Source organism: Homo sapiens, chromosome 7, assembly GCF_000001405.40.
Source record: "Homo sapiens chromosome 7, GRCh38.p14 Primary Assembly".
NCBI lineage: Eukaryota > Metazoa > Chordata > Mammalia > Primates > Hominidae > Homo > Homo sapiens.
The window spans coordinates 140,002,215-140,018,808 of NC_000007.14; the positions used below are offsets into that span (position 1 = coordinate 140,002,215).

The window sequence follows — 16,594 nt, forward strand, 5'->3', positions numbered from 1 at the left end:
GAATCGGTTTCCTCAATGGACAGAGCCTCCTTGGACCCCCAGCACCTGGTCCCGCACCTGACCCATCCAAGGTGCCCGCTGAGGAACTGCTGAATGAAAGAGGACTTATAATAAATTCTATGTTGAGACTTTGGGTTCACAGGCCTTCCTCTCTGGGCCTCATTTTTCTCCTCTCTGTCAAGGAAGGATGGCTGGGAGGATTTCCAAGGTCCTTTCCCGGGACGGGGAGTCCTCATTTAGCATGCGCTTGTTGCCCTCTGCTGGCAGAATTTGCTCAGGACCGTTCTGTCCCTGCTATTCCTGAAAGCTGCAGACAAAGCCAGCAACTGCTGGGTGGACCAGCCAGTGAGTGGGATAGGGACTTGAGTTTTGTTGTCTCGCTGGTTCGACTAAGACATGGAGGTGTGTGCGTCCTTCTGCCTCATCCGTTCATTCCTCAGGTGTGGAGAAGCGCTAGGGTAGGTCTCAGACAGACAGTCGGAAAGACCTATGCCCCTGAGTGCACATTAGGACAGCCAGGGGGCTAAAAAGGGAGAGCTGGTGCCCAGGCCCCACCTCAGACCAACACTGGGGAGTAGGGCCCAAGCATCCATCTATACTAAAACATATAAAAATCTGGCTGTTTCTGGCTGGGCGCGGTGGCTCACACCTGTAATCCCAGCACTTTGGGAGGCCGAGGCAGGCGGATTGCCTGAGGTCAGGAGTTCGAGACCAGCCTGACCAACACGGTGAAACCTCATCTCTACTGAAAATACAAAAATTAGCCGGGCGTGGTGGTGGGTGCCTGTAATCCCAGCTACTCGGGAGGCTGAGGCAGAAGAATTGCTTGAACCCAGGAGGCAGAGGTTGCAGTGAGCCGAGACCGGGCCATTGTACTCCAGCCTGGGCAACAAGAGCGAAACTCCGTCTCAAAAAAAAAAAAAAAAAAGCTGGCTGTTTCTAACATGCAGCCACATGGAGAACTGCTGAACCAAGATGGTCTTTACATACGTATCTTTTTGTTTGTTTGTCTGTTTGTTTGAGATGGAGTTTTGCTCTTGATGCCTAGGCTGTGATCTCAGCTCACTGCAACCTCCACCTCCCGGTTCAAGCGATTCTCCTGCCTCAGCCTCCAGGGTGGCTGGGGTTACAGGCACCCACCACCATGCCCAGCTAATTTTTTGTACTTTTAGTAGAGACAGGGTTTCATCATGTTGGCCAGGCTGGTCTTGAACTCCTCACCTCAGGTGATCCACCCACCTCGGCCTCCCAAAGTGCTGGGATTACAGGCGTGAGCCACCGCACCTGGCCTACATGTGCATCTTGATCTAAAAGCCTAGAAGCACAGTTAAAAAGAGAAAAGCCTATCTAGGGAAAGAGTAAAGACTTTGATTTTCTAATACAAAATTCGCTTAGCCTATCTTTAAAAATTTTCTTTCTTTGACAAACCGTGACAACTTACAAGCCATACAGTTTTCTTCGGGGAACCAACACCATTTACCCATTAGGGATGCTGCTTCCAGATCCAGTTTTTCTTTTTGAGATATAGTTCCCTATTTTTGTGTACCGCACCTCTGTTTCTTGTTTGATACATGCATATTCCTGCATTTGTTAAGATTCGTTTGGTTGCAGACAATGGAATTCAGAATGTTGCTAACTTCAGCTGCAAGTGAGAACTTGTTGGAAGGGACCAAGATGCCACCCACAGGGTTACCTGCCAGGAGCAGATGGCAACAGGAACTGGAACTCCATGGGGCACCGAGAAATGGTCTCTCTGTCCTTTGCTTCTGCTTTGTTGTATACATCTGATTCATTTCTTCTTTCTTGAGGCCAACTGCTGTTTTCTGCTCATTAATCCACAAGGCCGAATGTGGCCAACAATGGGTCTCCACTTCCCTGTGTTCAATCGCCACCTGCTGGAGAAAAACTTTTTTCTTTGTCCCAGATCGAAATTTCCAGACTGGCCCCTTTGGGCCAGTCAATCTTGGCCTGCAGGGCTGGCTACAGGATCTGTGAGGCCCAGTGAGAAATAAAAGCGTGGTAGCCTTTATTCCCAAAGCAGGGGGACGTGTCCATCGTGGTACTCAGCGAGCTTCTTTGTTTCTTCTGCAGTCTCTTTTTCGACTTGTCATGGTGCTTTTTATTTTCCATTTACTGTTGTTCTAAGTAAAGAAAACTCAATGTTAAATTATTAGCAAGCATTTTACCATTCATCTTTATATCAAACAATGCCAGTTTTAAATGTAAATTTCAGAGCGTTTAACTTATATGCAGAACCACTGAAATTACACAATTGGTGTTTGTGACTTGTTGGCCAGAAGAGACAAACACAAACCAAACTCATAAAGATTGGAAGCAGGAAGACAAGTTGCCTCCAGGTTTGCCCAACGGGGATGTTCTTTCAGGCCTGGACATACTGGATGAGCGGGGGGAGTCCAGACCCTTCCAGGCATCCAAGGGCCCTGTCAGCCACCAGACACATGCACTGAGACCCAGCCAGGGAGGCAGGATCTAGGGAAATTGGTCCAGCTGTCTCCCCTTTCCACAGCCTTCCCCAGCCAGCCACAGCAGACTAACCTCCAAGGATCTCTAAACCTCTGTGCTATGACACCCTCAGTACCTGGGCTAGGGGTGGGCAGAGGTTTGCCCCCATCGAGAAACAGCCTCCGGCCGGCCCCGCCACATACACTGTGTGCTGCCAGCCTAGGGCAGGGACGGCCACCACCATGCCAACCCGAGATGCTGCAGGGTGCATGCACCCTATCCTGGCCCTCTCTGTGCCTGTACCCAGGACCCTGTGAAGTGTGGACAGCAACAGTGGCCATAGGTCAGGGCAGAAAGGGGGAAGCCAGGTGGAGAGCACAGGCAGCTGAGAGCTGGTCGTGGGAGGCAGCCACAGGTGGAGCCATGCATAAGCCAGGCTTCCAAAGCACAGATTCAAAGATAAAGTTACGTCCGGGTGCAGTGGCTCACGCCTGTAACTCCAGCACTTTGGAAGGCCGAGGCAGGCGGATCACTTGAGGTCAGAAGTTGGAGACCAACCTGGCCAACATGGTGAAACCCCATCTCTACTAAAAATACAAAAGTTAGCCAGGCATGGTGGCAGATGCCTGTAATCCCAGCTATTTGAGAGGCTGAAGCAGGAGAATCACTTGAACCCGGGAGGTGGAGGATGCAGTGAGCCGAGATCACACCACTGCACTCCAGCTTGGGCGACAGAAAAAGACTCTGTCTCAAAAAAAAAATAAATAAATAAAAGATAAAGTTATGAAGACTCTCAAGACAGCGCCACAGAGGATTAACCCCCGCACAGAGCCCTTTTCATTGGTCACTTGCTCAGCCAGCTGCCCCAGTGGCCTGTGATGGGAGTGGGAAGTGTGGGGTTGGGTGATAACCTTCTAAAGTTAGAACCGTTCCCAGAAATGCAGACGGGAGAGCTTTGGGAAAACCATCCAAACCTTGTTATTTTTTATGACAAAGTAGGAATGCCACCCTGGCCCTCTAAATTCATAAACAGTCACAGACATGGGATTAAACTACATATAATTTCTGCAACGTGGCTTATAGGCATCATTAAACAGCTGCAATATGTTGAATGGCTATGTCATCATAGATTAGCTACGATACTGGCTATGGACTTCAAGACTCCATGTGTCCTGGCCCCTGCCCTTCCACCCCTCTGACCCGAGATGCAGTTCTAACAGGTTCCCGGGTGATGCTGCTGCTGCTGACCCTTGCCCATCCCGGAGCTCACTTTGAGAGCTGGCTGAGATCCCAGGCAGGGTGGCCAGTGGCTGCTCCAGGGCTGTGAAGGGCTCCCCCTGCAGACGGAGGAACTAGGCCTCCCAGCGCCTGTAACTGGAACGTTGGCGGCTTGAGAATGGACTTGCCCTGAAGGCCGGCCTCCTGCTGCTCTGGGAAAAAGAGGGAACAGAAGAAAGCAATCCGCCACCTTGGGGACTCCTCCTGGATTAGCATTATCTAGGTGAAGAAAGTGAGACCATCACCTACCAACCAGATAACTCATTCCACCTCTGTGGGCAAACTGGCAGAGCAGCAAATAAGCTTCCTTAATCCCAGTGCGCCCACACCCTGCTCAAGAGCTCATGGGCACGTGTTCATCTTCAGGCCAAAGATGGGGAGCCAGGGAGTGACAGACTGTCACTCCAGGAGAGTCACCCGGGGGTGTTAGGATCCCCACATTTGCACCCCCTGAAATCTAATCAGCATTTTCCAGCTGTTCCTAATCTGACCTGTGCAAATGGAATCTCATTGGAACTTGCATTTTTCATTATAGTAACTCATATGGCCTCTGTGTTTCGCCTGTTCATAGCCTTTGACCATTTTTCTAGCTAGTTGTCTTTTCCTACTGACTGATAGTAGCTCTTTGGTTTTTGTTACTGTTAGTCCTTTATAGATGTGGCAAACTTTTTTATTTGCTATTTCACTATTTGCCTTTTGACTTCATAATGTGCCATGACTACCCATGTGACAGGCTCTTTGAGCCTCAGTTTTCTCATCTAAGAGATGGGGAAACAGTCACCACACTGGCTTAGTGGAGCATCAAATGCGGTAACGTCTATGCTGCACTTGGTCGGCCACATCGTCAGCTCCCAATAAATGCTGGCGGCTGTGGTTGCCGCTGCAGTTTTATAACCAAACTTCTCTGTATTACGAAGACCCCTGAGCCCCAGGCTAGCACCGTGAAATATAAGCACAATAGAACCACTGAGCGCCAATCAGATGCAATTTGGGTCATACCGACTTTCCATTTTGTGGGGTTTCTGTTTAAATGTTTGCCAAAGTTGGAAACGAGATTGAAATTTAAGGAAAAGACAAAATGCTGTGAGATTTGGGCTAACACGAACTTCTCCCTTTGTCACGACCCCTCCATCAGATGGCCCCTGAGTTCTGCAGCCTCGAGGAAGGCCTGCCCTATCTGGACATGGTGATTGCAGAGACGCTGAGGATGTACCCGCCAGCTTTCAGGTGTGTGGTAGCCCCCTCCCCTGCCCGAGTCCCCACCTCCTACCCCTACCCCCTGCCCCAGCCTGCAGGTCAGGGCCCTCCTCCATCAGTTACCACTTGTGTTTCTGGAGGGCAACGCCTGAGTCCTGGGTTCCTTTGTATCCCCATGGCACCTCAGATATCTGGCCCGCTTTCCTACAGGTTAACAACCTTCTCAAAGCTTCACAGGCATTTTCTTAACACCGCCTTCCTCCCCAGCCCAAGCTGGCCCTTTGGTCTCCTAGCCTTTGCTGGCTTTTGCCATTTCCCCTGCCTGTTCGTTCATTCATTCATTCATTCGTTCATTCATTCATTCAGCAATTGTTTATTGAGCATCTACTCTGTGCCAAGCATTGGGAAATCAGCTGTATATAAAACAGATAAAAGTCCCTGACTGATCTTGGAGCTGGCATTCAGACAGTAGGGGACTGTCTGAGTCCTGGGAGCTCCTTCCTGCCATCCAACACCCCCAGCTGTCCCATCCTGGAGCTCCAACACGACTCACCCTCCAAAACGTCTCACTGCCCCTCAAGACGTCTGTGTTGGGCTTGCCTCACCTGGTCCTCCCTGCCCTTCCTCCTCAGCACTTTGAGCTGTAACTATACACTTCATGTTATATTCTTGGACACATATCTGCCACTCCATGACATTTCACTAATGTACACACCAACCAGCCGGTCACACCAACCTGTGGGTATCTTGAGAGCAAAACCAACTATTGTGCTTCGTTCAAACTCTCCCAAACAAGGCACTCCATAGAGAAGGGCATCTTAATTCATGTCCCCAGACCCCTACAGAGAGTGAAGTAACAGCCAGATTTCAGGCTCTAGAAACAGAAGCAGCACAAAGCATTAACCGTATGTGATAAATTCCACTCAACACTTTTATGAATTAACAGATCACATAAACCATATGGAAATACCTTTCACCATTTTTAAAGACAATATGTGGATGATTTGAGGGTATCTCAAAACGATATTTCAACACAAAAGCATTACAAAGAATGCAATTGTAGACATTGTCCAAATGTTCAAGTCCAGAAGCAAATACAGAAAATTCCGGTGGCGTGATTCGAACTGCATTGTCCTCAAGCACACAAGGTTTTGGGTCTCAGTGTGGAAGCAGGCCAGTCACTCAGGGGCTCTGTGCCCCCTCTCCCCATGCCAGCATTAAGACCTGATGTGCAGCCCTTCCCTGATCTCCTTTGGAGCCTCTTGCAAACTGTCATCCAATTCTTTCTTTTATTCTTTTTTTTTTTTTTTTTTGAGATGGAGTCTTGCTCTGTTGCCCAGGCTGGAGGGCAATGGTGTGATCTTGGCTCACTGAAACTTCTGCCTCTTGGGTTCAAGAGATCCTCCTGTCTCAGCCTCCCAAGTAACTGGGATTACAGGTGCCCGCCACTATGCCCGGCTAATTTTTTGTATTTTTAGTAGAGACGGGGTTTCACCACGTTGGCCAGGCTGGTCTCAAACTCCTGACCTCAGGTGATCTGCCTGCCTTGGCCTCCCAAAGTGCTGGGATTACAGGCGTGAGCCACCAATCCCAGCCTTATTTTTTTCATAATTGATATCCAGCTTTCTTCCAAGGGGATTGTGGGAAGCTGGTGTACATGTTAAAATGAAGTTCAAGATAAAGCATTCAGGGATCAAATAGAACAAAGGCCATTTAAAGGAAAGAAGGCCTTACAGGGCCCCAGAGCTGGCTGGTAGCTGGGGTCCAGCTGTGGCTTGGTGACCAGGGCTCCTGGCCAAGAGGGAGAGCAGCCAAGCCAAACAGGTGTGTTCTCCAGCAAGAGGACAGCACAGAAACTGATCAATGGACACAGTACTTCCTGGACCTAAACTCAGCCACGAATCCATCAGACAAGACCTTATTAGCTGTCATGTTGAATAACAAAGGGGTTAGGCTCTTCAACATGAAAATGCGGTGGCCGATTCTCCACTGACCCGTTATAAACAGCAGAGCAGAAAAGGAAGTTGGTGCAGGTGGACCAGGAAGCTGGTGATCTCACCTGAGGACCAGACAGAAACTAGAGAACCTGGGTGAAGTAGTTAGAATTCATCTAACAGGTCTAGAGGGCACGTCAGAAGACCATCTTGGCCCTGGCCTTGGCATACTGCGTGATCGTGAGCCTCATGCTGCTCCGTGCCTCTCCTTCCTACGGGTTAAATGGGGACACACACCTGCTTGGCTGGCCCTGCAGAAGCAGGCAAGAGGCAGTGGGTGGCACAGGTGGAACTGTAGTGCCCGCTCAGCTGCCTGCAGCATGATGTGTGCAGGGAGGAGCGCCGGCACTGGTCGGACAGTGGAATGGACAGCTTCCATCCAGCCTCGCTCTCCTGAGCCGCCCCTTCCCCACACATGCCCCACACCCGCCCCACACCTTCCCCACACCCACCCCACACCTGCCCCACACCCGCCCCACACCTGCCCCACACCCACCCCACACCTGCCCCACACCCGCTCCACACCTGCCCCACACCCACCCCACACCTGCCCCACACCCGCTCCACACCTGCCCCACTCCCACCCCACACCTGCTCCACACCTCCATACCTGCCCCACACCTGCCCCACACCCGCTCCACACCTGCCCCACACCTCCATGCTGGCCCCATACCTGCTCCACACCTGTCCCATGCCCGCCCCACAGCCGCCCCACACCTGCTCCACACCTCCATGCCCGCCCCACACCTGCCCCACACCTTCACACCTGCCCCACACCTGCCCCACACCTGCCCCGCACCTGCCCCACACCTGCCCCGCACCTGCCCCACACCTGCCCCACACCCGCTCCACACCCGCTTCACACCCGCTCCACACCCGCCCCACACCTCCACACCCACACCACACCCGCCCCACACCTGCTCCACACCCACACCACACCCACCCCACACCTGCCTCACAGCTGCTCCACACCTGCTCCATGGGCATTTTTCACCCTATCAGCTCTGCTGGCTTTTCTTATTGATCACCAGATATGAGAGAGACAAGGTGTCACAATTCTCACCCAGACCAGAGGACAATCTGCTTCTGCTCAAAGGATTTGGGGGTGAATGTAGGGAGAGTGAGCATTTTTATTTTATTATTTTATTTCATCTCAAAAAGCGTGTTGACTTTTCCCAAGTGCTGACACAACTTGGACTTACTCATAAAAGAAAATCAGAATCGCCCTTGTGGGAAACACAGCAGCCCTGTCTGAGCGCCACTGAGGTGACTCCCGGATGCTGTGCGGTGCAGTTCTGAAGCTTCTGTTGATCTCTTATGAGGTTCAGTTTACGGGGAAGGGAAGGCCCTATTTTCCAGCTTCCAGGGGGTCTGCCTCCAGGTCCAGGCTGTTTCCAGAAAAGAAGAACAAGCAGGGTGCCAGGGAACAGCTTCATCTGACCCCTTTGGAACTGCGGGTACAGACATCACAAACCCCAGCTGCCTGCCCTGGTTTCAGTGCTGGTGTTTGCTATCAGCTCCAAGCACATATAATTGCATTAGCAGCTTAGCATCTCAATGGGTTCTCCACGCCCTGGCCTTTTTCTGTTCCTGTCTGTTACATGAAAGGCTCATAACAGAGAGGGAGCAGCAAGAAGCCACAGGCTGCTTTTAATCTCTTACGGGCAGGAACAGGGCATAACAGTAATTACTGTAATCATTGCATTTCCTTTAGGATATTTAGGGAAGTCCAATCCTACAGCTTGAAGTAAAATCCAGCATAGAATTATTTTGAATTTTTAATTATTTATATTGCCAAAATAGCATGCTTATACAAACAAAACAAAACCAAAAAAAAAAAAACAGTCCCGGCCGGGTGTAGTGGTTCACACCTGTAATTCCAGCACTTTGGGAGGCAAGGAGGGAAGATCACTTGAGTTCAGGAGTTCAAGACCAGCCTGACCAACATGATGAAACTCTGACTCTACTAAAAATACAAAAATTAGCCGGGCATGGTGGCAGAAACCTGTAATCCCAGCTACAAGGGAGGCTAAGGCAGGAGAATTGCTTGAATCTGGGAGGCGGAGGTTGCAGTGAGCCAAGATAGTGCCACTGCACTCCACCCTGGGCGGCAGAGCGAGACTCTGTCTCAAAAAAAACAAACAAACAAACAAACAAAAAAAACAGTCCCCTAAACAATGAAGAATAAAAAAAAAAGAAAAAAAAGGCCCCCTGCCATTCTCCATCCCAATCCCATCCCCTAGAGAAGAGAAAGATAGAAATTTAAGTATTCTTCTAGAAATGTTATGTTCATATACAAGCATATATAGTCTACCCTTTAAAAGTAAAGCATAAATGAGATTGTGCCATTGCCCTTGGGTAAAATGAACAATCTGATCAAATATTTTCCTCTCTGGGAGAAGAAGCTATCGGTAGAGACATAGACAACAGGGAACAGATTTTCAAACCCAAATTTCCTTCCCTCACCAGGACTCACTCAGAGGAGCCAAATTAACAAAGAAAGTAGAAGGCTGTCTGCCAGGGACCAGGGAGAGGGGAGGGGAGGGAGTTAGTGTTTAAGGGATCCAGAATTTCAGTGGGGGAAGAGGAAAAAGTTCTGGAGATGGATGGCAGTGCTGGTTGCACAATGAATGTACTAAAACCACAGAACTGCACACTGAAAAATGGTTCAAATGGTCCATTTTATGTTCTATATATATATATATCCACAATGAAATAATAAACAGGTGAGCAGATAAATAACTAAATAAACCCAGCCTCACCAGGACCAATTCTGATGTTCCAATATTCCAGAATTATCATGGCATTTGATGGACGGTTTGAGCCTGTCCTCATTAGATGTTCTCATGTCCTGTGTTAAGGACTTAAGACTCAGAAGATTTTTCATGGATTCCAGGCACGTGGGAGTGGTACAGACAGGAGCAGGAGTGGGAGCCCGTGTACGGGATTCATTAGGGAAACAGAACTTTGCTACGTTGGGAGGGTATCTCGAGGACAAGCCTTGACAGAGGGTGTGACCAGCGTCTCCTCCCAACCCCCGTGTTACCTGGGATAGGAAATGGCCTGAAGTCTGGAAGGTAGGAGGCAGGAAGTGGGGCTTGGTTTTCTTGCTGTGAGCCAGATCTGTTGGAGTGGGATAATGCTGAAGTCAGAGAGAGACTTCTCAATCGAACCCTATAGTCACAAAAGTAGTTGGGAAGGGGGTGGGCTGAGAGGTGCAGGGAGGTGATAAAGAGAAGCTGGGGCTGTAATTCTGCCCTCGTCCTAAAAGGCTCTATCTCATCCTTTAAAATCCCAAATCACCTGTAACCAGAACTTTTTTTTTTTTTTTTTTGAGACGGAGTCTCGCTCTGTCGCTCAGGTGTACAGTGGTGCGATCTCAGCTCACTGCAACCTCCTCTTCCCGGGTTCAAGCGATTCTCGTGCCTCAGCCTCCTGAGTAGCAGGGACTACAGGCGCACGACACCATGCTTGGCTAATTTGGGTATTTTTAGTAGAGACGGGGTTTCACCATGTTGGCCAGGCTGGTCTCCAGCTCCTGACCTCAGGTGATCCACACACCTCTGCCTCCCAAAGTGCTGGGATTACAGGCATGAGCCACCACACACCCGGCCATGACCAGAACTCTTGAGAGCGTGTGCTCAACACTCGAAGTCCAAAAGTCTACCCAAGTTCAGGAAGAGAGCGGTTCTTCACCTCTCCACCTCGAATTTTGTTTCTAGAATGTTGCATGTAGGTCTGAAGAGTGACAGCACGTTTGTTTAACAGGAACTCAAAGCCAGCAGATCAGGAAAGGACACTTATAAGGTTTGGAGTTTGGGTTACAGAGGTTTAAGGTAGGTCTTTTGTGGCAAGGAATATTTGAAATTGGGCAAGATGAGTGAGCTGAGATCGCGCCACTGCACTCCAGCCTGGGCAACAGAGCGAGACTCCATCTCAAAAAAAAAAAAAAAAAGAAATTGGGGCAAGATGTATGACATAACAATTTAGGAATGAGTGAATACAGGTAGGTGAGTTGAAGGGAGTTCTGACAGGTAAGACTGTTGTCTGGCAAGTGAACTGTTTGCTCACGCAAGCAAACCATTGTCCTGATAGGAAAGTGGTTTGCTCAGACAAATTAGTTTGCATTAATTTCCTGAAGCCAACAGTGAAGCTGTTTCTTGGTTCAGAGGTTTATCTTCCTCGGCAAGAATTTTCTGGAGCAGAGAGGAAGTCACTGACACAGGTGGTCTCGATGCTCACTCCAAGAGTTGAGTTGTGTGGCTCCAGGTAGACTCATTTCCCAGGGTCACCTGCTGGGCCATAATCAACAAGGTACAAGCTTAAGAGAGCCATGCCGGGATTTCAAGTTGCAAGGAAGAGAGATTCAATGGTGCTTTCTTGAGTCACGGGTGTTGGTTGTAAGAAACTGGTGGGGTAAGGAAGCTAGAACTCTCCCAGGAACCAGGAACGGCTCTCACTGGCAGGCCTCACGGAGGAGACCCAAGCTGGGGGACTGGAAGGTGGTTCAGATTGTTCACAAGCTGCAGTGGCTCCAGCAGTCAGATTGGGGTGTGATCTCACAGCACCAGGAGCCCTGAACACCAGCCTGAGGCTCAGCCCTGAAGGCAGCTTGACCAGGCAAACCTGGAGACTGCATCAACACCAGCAGCCTCCAACACACCTGACCTGCTCATGGCCTTAATCCCAAACCCAGGTCCTAAACTACCTCTCACTGTGCATCGCAAGTCACTGCCCATCTTCCTGGCTTCTGATCTGCTGCCGTCCCCGATTCATGGCCTCACTTCACCCACTGATTGCCCTTGACTTTGAGCTACAGGTTTCACCAGCTAACTGCGACTCTAGCCTCAGCTCTGGGGCCATACAGCCTCAAGCACCTGGGTCTTGCTCCAGCTCCAGCTCCCTGTTCTAGGCAGCCCATCCTTGGGAAGAAGCAGACAAAACTGCATGTCAGAGACATGGCTCTGGTTGTCATGAGAAGACTGGATTGCAAAGAGGTCAATGAGAGACGAGAATCTAAACTAAGGAGATGGCAGTAAAACTGGAGAGATGGCACCATACGAAAGACCAGTGATGAATCTGCAGACGGGGAGAGACGAGTACAGGATGGCTTCTGGTTTCCGGCTTTCTCAAGCCTGTGTGGGAAACAGAAGGAGGAGAAGATTCTGATGACCTGCTGCTGCTCAGGCCGACTTCGAGGATTCTGTGGACCGCCCAGGGAAGAGGCCGGGTCTGTGGGTAGAAATTGGAACCTGGGGTTCAGGCTGGGGCTGAGGTAGGAGGCTTAGGAGATAATGGAAGTTGAATCTGGGAGGGCAGACGAAATCCCTGGGAAGTGCCAGGATTTAAGAGGCTGGTGGATGCAGAAGAGCCTGCCAATGAGGGAGAAATCAAGGAAAGAAATGTGTGTGTGCATGTGTGTGTGTGTCTGAGAGAGAGAGACAGACACACACACAGAGAATGGTAAAGATGATGGACACAGGCCAGGTGCAGTGGCTCATGCCTGTAATCCCAGCACTTTGGGAGGCCGAGGCAGGGGATCACTTGAGGTCAGGAGTTCGAGACCAGCCTGACCAACATGGTGAAACCACCCCCCGTCTCTACTAAAAACACAAAAATTAGCCAGGCCTGTTGACACACACCTGTAGTCTGAGCTACTCGGGAGGCTGAGGCAGGAGAATTGCTTGAACCTGGAAGGCAGAGGTTGCAGTGAGCAGAGATTGTGCCACTCCAGCCTGGGTGACAGAGCAAGACCCTGTCTCAAAAAAAAAGAAGAAGAAGAAAGAAGGAGGAGGAGGAGAAGAAGAAGAGGAGGAGGAGGATGCAGCAAAAAACAGCAGGTGAATCTGGGTAAACGATACATGGGTATCTAATGTACTATTCTTCAACTTTTCTGTAAGTTCAGAATTATTTCCTAATGAAAATTAAAACAGAAAAACAAACAAACCAAAGAAATGTGCAAGAGGAAGACAATCAATGACATAGACAGACCAAGTCAGATGAAGACTGAGGAGTATTCATCAGATGTACCCATAAATATTCTTTGGGGATCTTGGCATGGGGACCATCCACAGGAGGGAGGGGACAGATGCCAGGCAGCAGGGCTAGTCAGTGAAATGGGAGGAGAGGGAGCGAGAGGGTGAGCAAGGGCAATTTTAAGAGGCTTGGCTGTGAATGGGAAGATAGGATAGGCTGTGGCCCAGGAATGACCCTCCAGGCCCCCACTATGAAAGCAATCCTTCCAAAGCAGTTTGCACCCCGACATGGGGCACAAGAGGGGCCCTTTGTGCTTGACAAATGGATGCATGAAGGGATGGATGAGTACATTTTCATCAAGGACCAAGTGAGCCTAGCCTCGGGGCTGCAGGCTCCTGGGCAGTGAGTGGTAATGGGGTAGGGGCTTGGTCACCCTGGGAAGGGGGCTGAGCAGGGGGTCCTCTGTCCCCAGCCTCATTCCACACACCATGCTGCCTGCCCCTGATCCCCTTCACACTCAGACTCTGCCTGCCCAGCACGCCCCAAGCTCTGCTCCTCATCTCTTCTCTGTATCCACCCCCGACCTGGTGTTTCCCTCAGATTCACACGGGAGGCAGCTCAGGACTGCGAGGTGCTGGGGCAGCGCATCCCCGCAGGCGCTGTGCTAGAGATGGCCGTGGGTGCCCTGCACCATGACCCTGAGCACTGGCCAAGCCCGGAGACCTTCAACCCTGAAAGGTGAGTACTGCCCCTTTTAAAAAGCTCTGAAGGGATGTGAGTGTGTGGGATAGAAATTTACCAGTGGAGGCAGCAGCCGGGAGGCACAGACTTAGCAAAATTGTCCCCAAATAGTCAAAAGTTATGGCAATTCAGATAGATGTTTGCAAGACATAATTTCCAAAGGAAATAATTATACCATTTTTTAGCCACGCGTGGTGGCTCATGCCTGTAATCCCAGCACTTTGGGAGGCCAAGGTGGGCAGATCACGAGGTCAGGAGATCGAGACCATCCTGGCTAACACGGTGAAACCCCATCTCTACTAAAAATACAAAAACTTAGCTGGGCGTGGTGGCGGGCGCCTGTAGTCCCAGCTACTTGGGAGGCTGAGGCAGGAGAATGGCGTGAACCCAGGAGGCGGAGCTTGCAGTGAGCCGAGATGGTGCCACTACACTCCAGCCTGGGTGACAGAGCAAGACTCTGTCTAAAAAAAAATAAATAAATTAAATAAAAATAAATAAATAAATAAATAATTATACCATTTTTTCAAGGTCCAAACTGAATCCAGAGATTTAGCATTTCAGCAGCCCTGCATGCAAGGAACAAGGCAATTTCAAATGATTGTCTTCCATTCATTCAAGCCAGGACATGGGATACAGGATTGTATTTCAGGTCTGCACTGGAAAGTAACGGAACATCATTTCCTTTTTAAAAAACGGGCATCTATGCCAAAACAACAGCTTCAGCTGATGTCTCCATGAATCTAAATTCACGTGATCCACTGGTTGACCTGGGTCCCCGCCTTCCACCACCTGGCTTTGGTTCATTGTCTCCTTTCATTTCTGGGCTCTGTGATTGGAAACATCTGAGCAGGCGGCCCACACTCTGGTCCTCATCAGAACCAGTCAATATCCTGTGTGTGTGATCTGGCAAGGGAAGGGCTGGCCCGGCACCAGTTGTGTTTTCACCTTTCATGGCTCCAACTGAGTTCAGCCCAAGCCTACGACCCAGTCACTGGGAAAACGTGAGCAATGGGATCTACACAACAATATTCCACAGTCAGCAGCTCCTGAACGTGCCGCAGCCACAGGGCTTACAGCCTCACAATAAAGCCCAGGGGTAGTAAAAAGTGAGCTCGCTGTTACAGAACAGTGAGTGCCACCTAGCTTCACTGTCATGGGACACACGCTGCAGGCAAATGCACTACTTGGTAGGAGATTCAGCAGTTCTGAGGAAGGGCCTCCAGCTCTCCAGGTACTGCAGCTTCCAGTGGTTCAAGTGTCCAGTGCAGGGGCCTGCAAAGCAAACACGGGCAGGAGAGGGGCTGCCAGTGTGGCCCAAGAGACCTGCAGGGCAAGCCAGCAGGACACGCCCCCCAGGGAGGGCCCAGGAGGTGCTGAGGTGCCCGGTACCCTGCCAAGGAAGCAGGTGGCGGCTGGGTCATCCTATGGGAGGGGAGGTGGCGCCATGGGCCCAGGTGAGGGTGATCACCAAACCCTGGGGTTCAGGGATGCCGTGTTTAGACTCTGATTGTGGGTGGCGGTGAGTCTGTGGGCTTATTAGCCACACACTGAATTCCTAAGGAGAGGCAGGGAGGGAGCTGTGGACATTCCAGGTGATTCTGCGAATTCAGCTCTGCCTCTGGGGCTGTGCAGGAAGACAGGAGGCCAGGAGCAGAGAGGGACTGAGGCTCAGGAATGAGCAGCCATCAGCTCCCAGAGCCTTGGAGACATCCTTGTCTCAGATGCAGGGGTGGCTCAGCTGGAGCACAGGGCTGCAGAGGGGAGGGAGCGGGTGTTCTGGGCCAGCCCTGACCACACGGACCTGCAGGTTCACGGCTGAGGCCCGGCAGCAGCACCGGCCCTTCACGTACCTGCCCTTCGGGGCCGGCCCACGGAGCTGCCTCGGGGTGCGTCTAGGGCTGCTTGAGGTCAAGTTGACACTGCTCCACGTGCTGCACAAGTTCCGGTTCCAAGCCTGCCCTGAGACCCAGGTGAGGCCCCCCTGCTCAGAGGCAGGGGCAGGGGCAGGGGTGGGAGGGCCACCCCAGTTCTCTGCGTGAGAGCAGGCCAGCCTGGGGGCAACATCAGGCTCTGCCTCCGTGAGCTTGGGCAAGCTCCTTAACCTCTCTCGGCCTCAGTTTCTTGATTCGTAAAGTGGGGGTGATAATAATAACACCCTCTACCTCTCAACATCCTGTGAGGATCCAGTGAGTTCACACAGCGCTCAGGTAAGCCCTGGCAAGCCAACCCGAGCACGTGTTAACCATTGTTATTAGTATTGTTCTCTGCACACCAGGGCTGGACCTCACCTTGCTGTAGCTCTTCCCACTTCCACAAAGGGCACACAGACAATGGCATTTGCAGTTGTGACATGTGCCTGCCTTTGCGGGGTGGGGGGTGCATGGCTTGTCCTACAGAAGGTGGGGACACTTCCTCTGGCTCCTCCTGACAGAGCAAGGTGCTGTCTGCTTGGAGGGGAAGCTGAAGGGTTTCAGCTCCTTGAACGGTACCCCCAGCTTTGCCTTCCCCCCTTGTGCAGACACTCACGTGTCCCCATGGCCACAGCCTGGTCCCTCTCACAGGTGGTGACACAGCCTCTTCCCAACAACATATGCCTTCATTCCTGAGGTCCTAGACTGGTGCACAGACCCTGTCCTCACCCAGAGAGCTGAGCTCTCCTGAAATGGGGCCTCACCCACTTTTCCAGCCCTATCTCCCCCCCACATCACACACTCCAGAACCAGCAGACCAATTCCTCAACAGGTCAGGGAGCTTATATCCCCTGCTTTCACACTCACAGCAACCCTGCAGAGTAGGAGTGACTATTCCCATTCTTTAGATGAGGAATCAAAGCTCAGAGAGGTTAAATAACTTGCCTAAGGCCACACAGCAGGACTGCAGGCTTCGTGATGGCAGGGACCCAGTCTGTCATATTCATTGTTGGACTTTCCAGCATCTAGCTTAAT

At 51.0% G+C, this 16,594-nt stretch overlaps 1 protein-coding gene across 8 annotated transcripts in view, besides 2 other annotated features; it reads left to right on the plus strand.

The window, feature by feature from the left end:
• Positions 1-16,594, plus strand: part of TBXAS1 (thromboxane A synthase 1) — a 242,052-nt gene that overhangs the window by 223,973 nt on the left and 1,485 nt on the right. For 6 of the 8 annotated variants that reach the window (NM_001130966.5, NM_001166254.4, NM_001314028.4 and 3 more), the window contains 3 exons: positions 4,877-4,968; positions 13,509-13,646; positions 15,457-15,619. In NM_001130966.5, the coding sequence (NP_001124438.2) occupies positions 4,877-4,968; positions 13,509-13,646; positions 15,457-15,619 (393 nt within the window). Of the gene's footprint in view, positions 1-4,876; positions 4,969-13,508; positions 13,647-14,177; positions 15,620-16,594 lie in introns of those variants that run through there. The other 2 variants (XM_011516544.4, NM_030984.6) reach the window with 2 other exon arrangements.
• Positions 409-468: an enhancer, noted in NCBI's record as "active region_26772". NCBI's record gives its function as "activates an Ori minimal core promoter by ATAC-STARR-seq in GM12878 lymphoblastoid cells {active_cell/tissue: GM12878}" and the evidence as "EXISTENCE:reporter gene assay evidence [ECO:0000049][PMID:35858748]".
• Positions 14,524-15,024: an enhancer, noted in NCBI's record as "H3K4me1 hESC enhancer chr7:139716538-139717038 (GRCh37/hg19 assembly coordinates)". NCBI's record gives its function as "activates a minimal SCP1, AML or CMV promoter by ChIP-STARR-seq in naive H9 embryonic stem cells {active_cell/tissue: H9 hESC(naive)}" and the evidence as "EXISTENCE:reporter gene assay evidence [ECO:0000049][PMID:30033119]".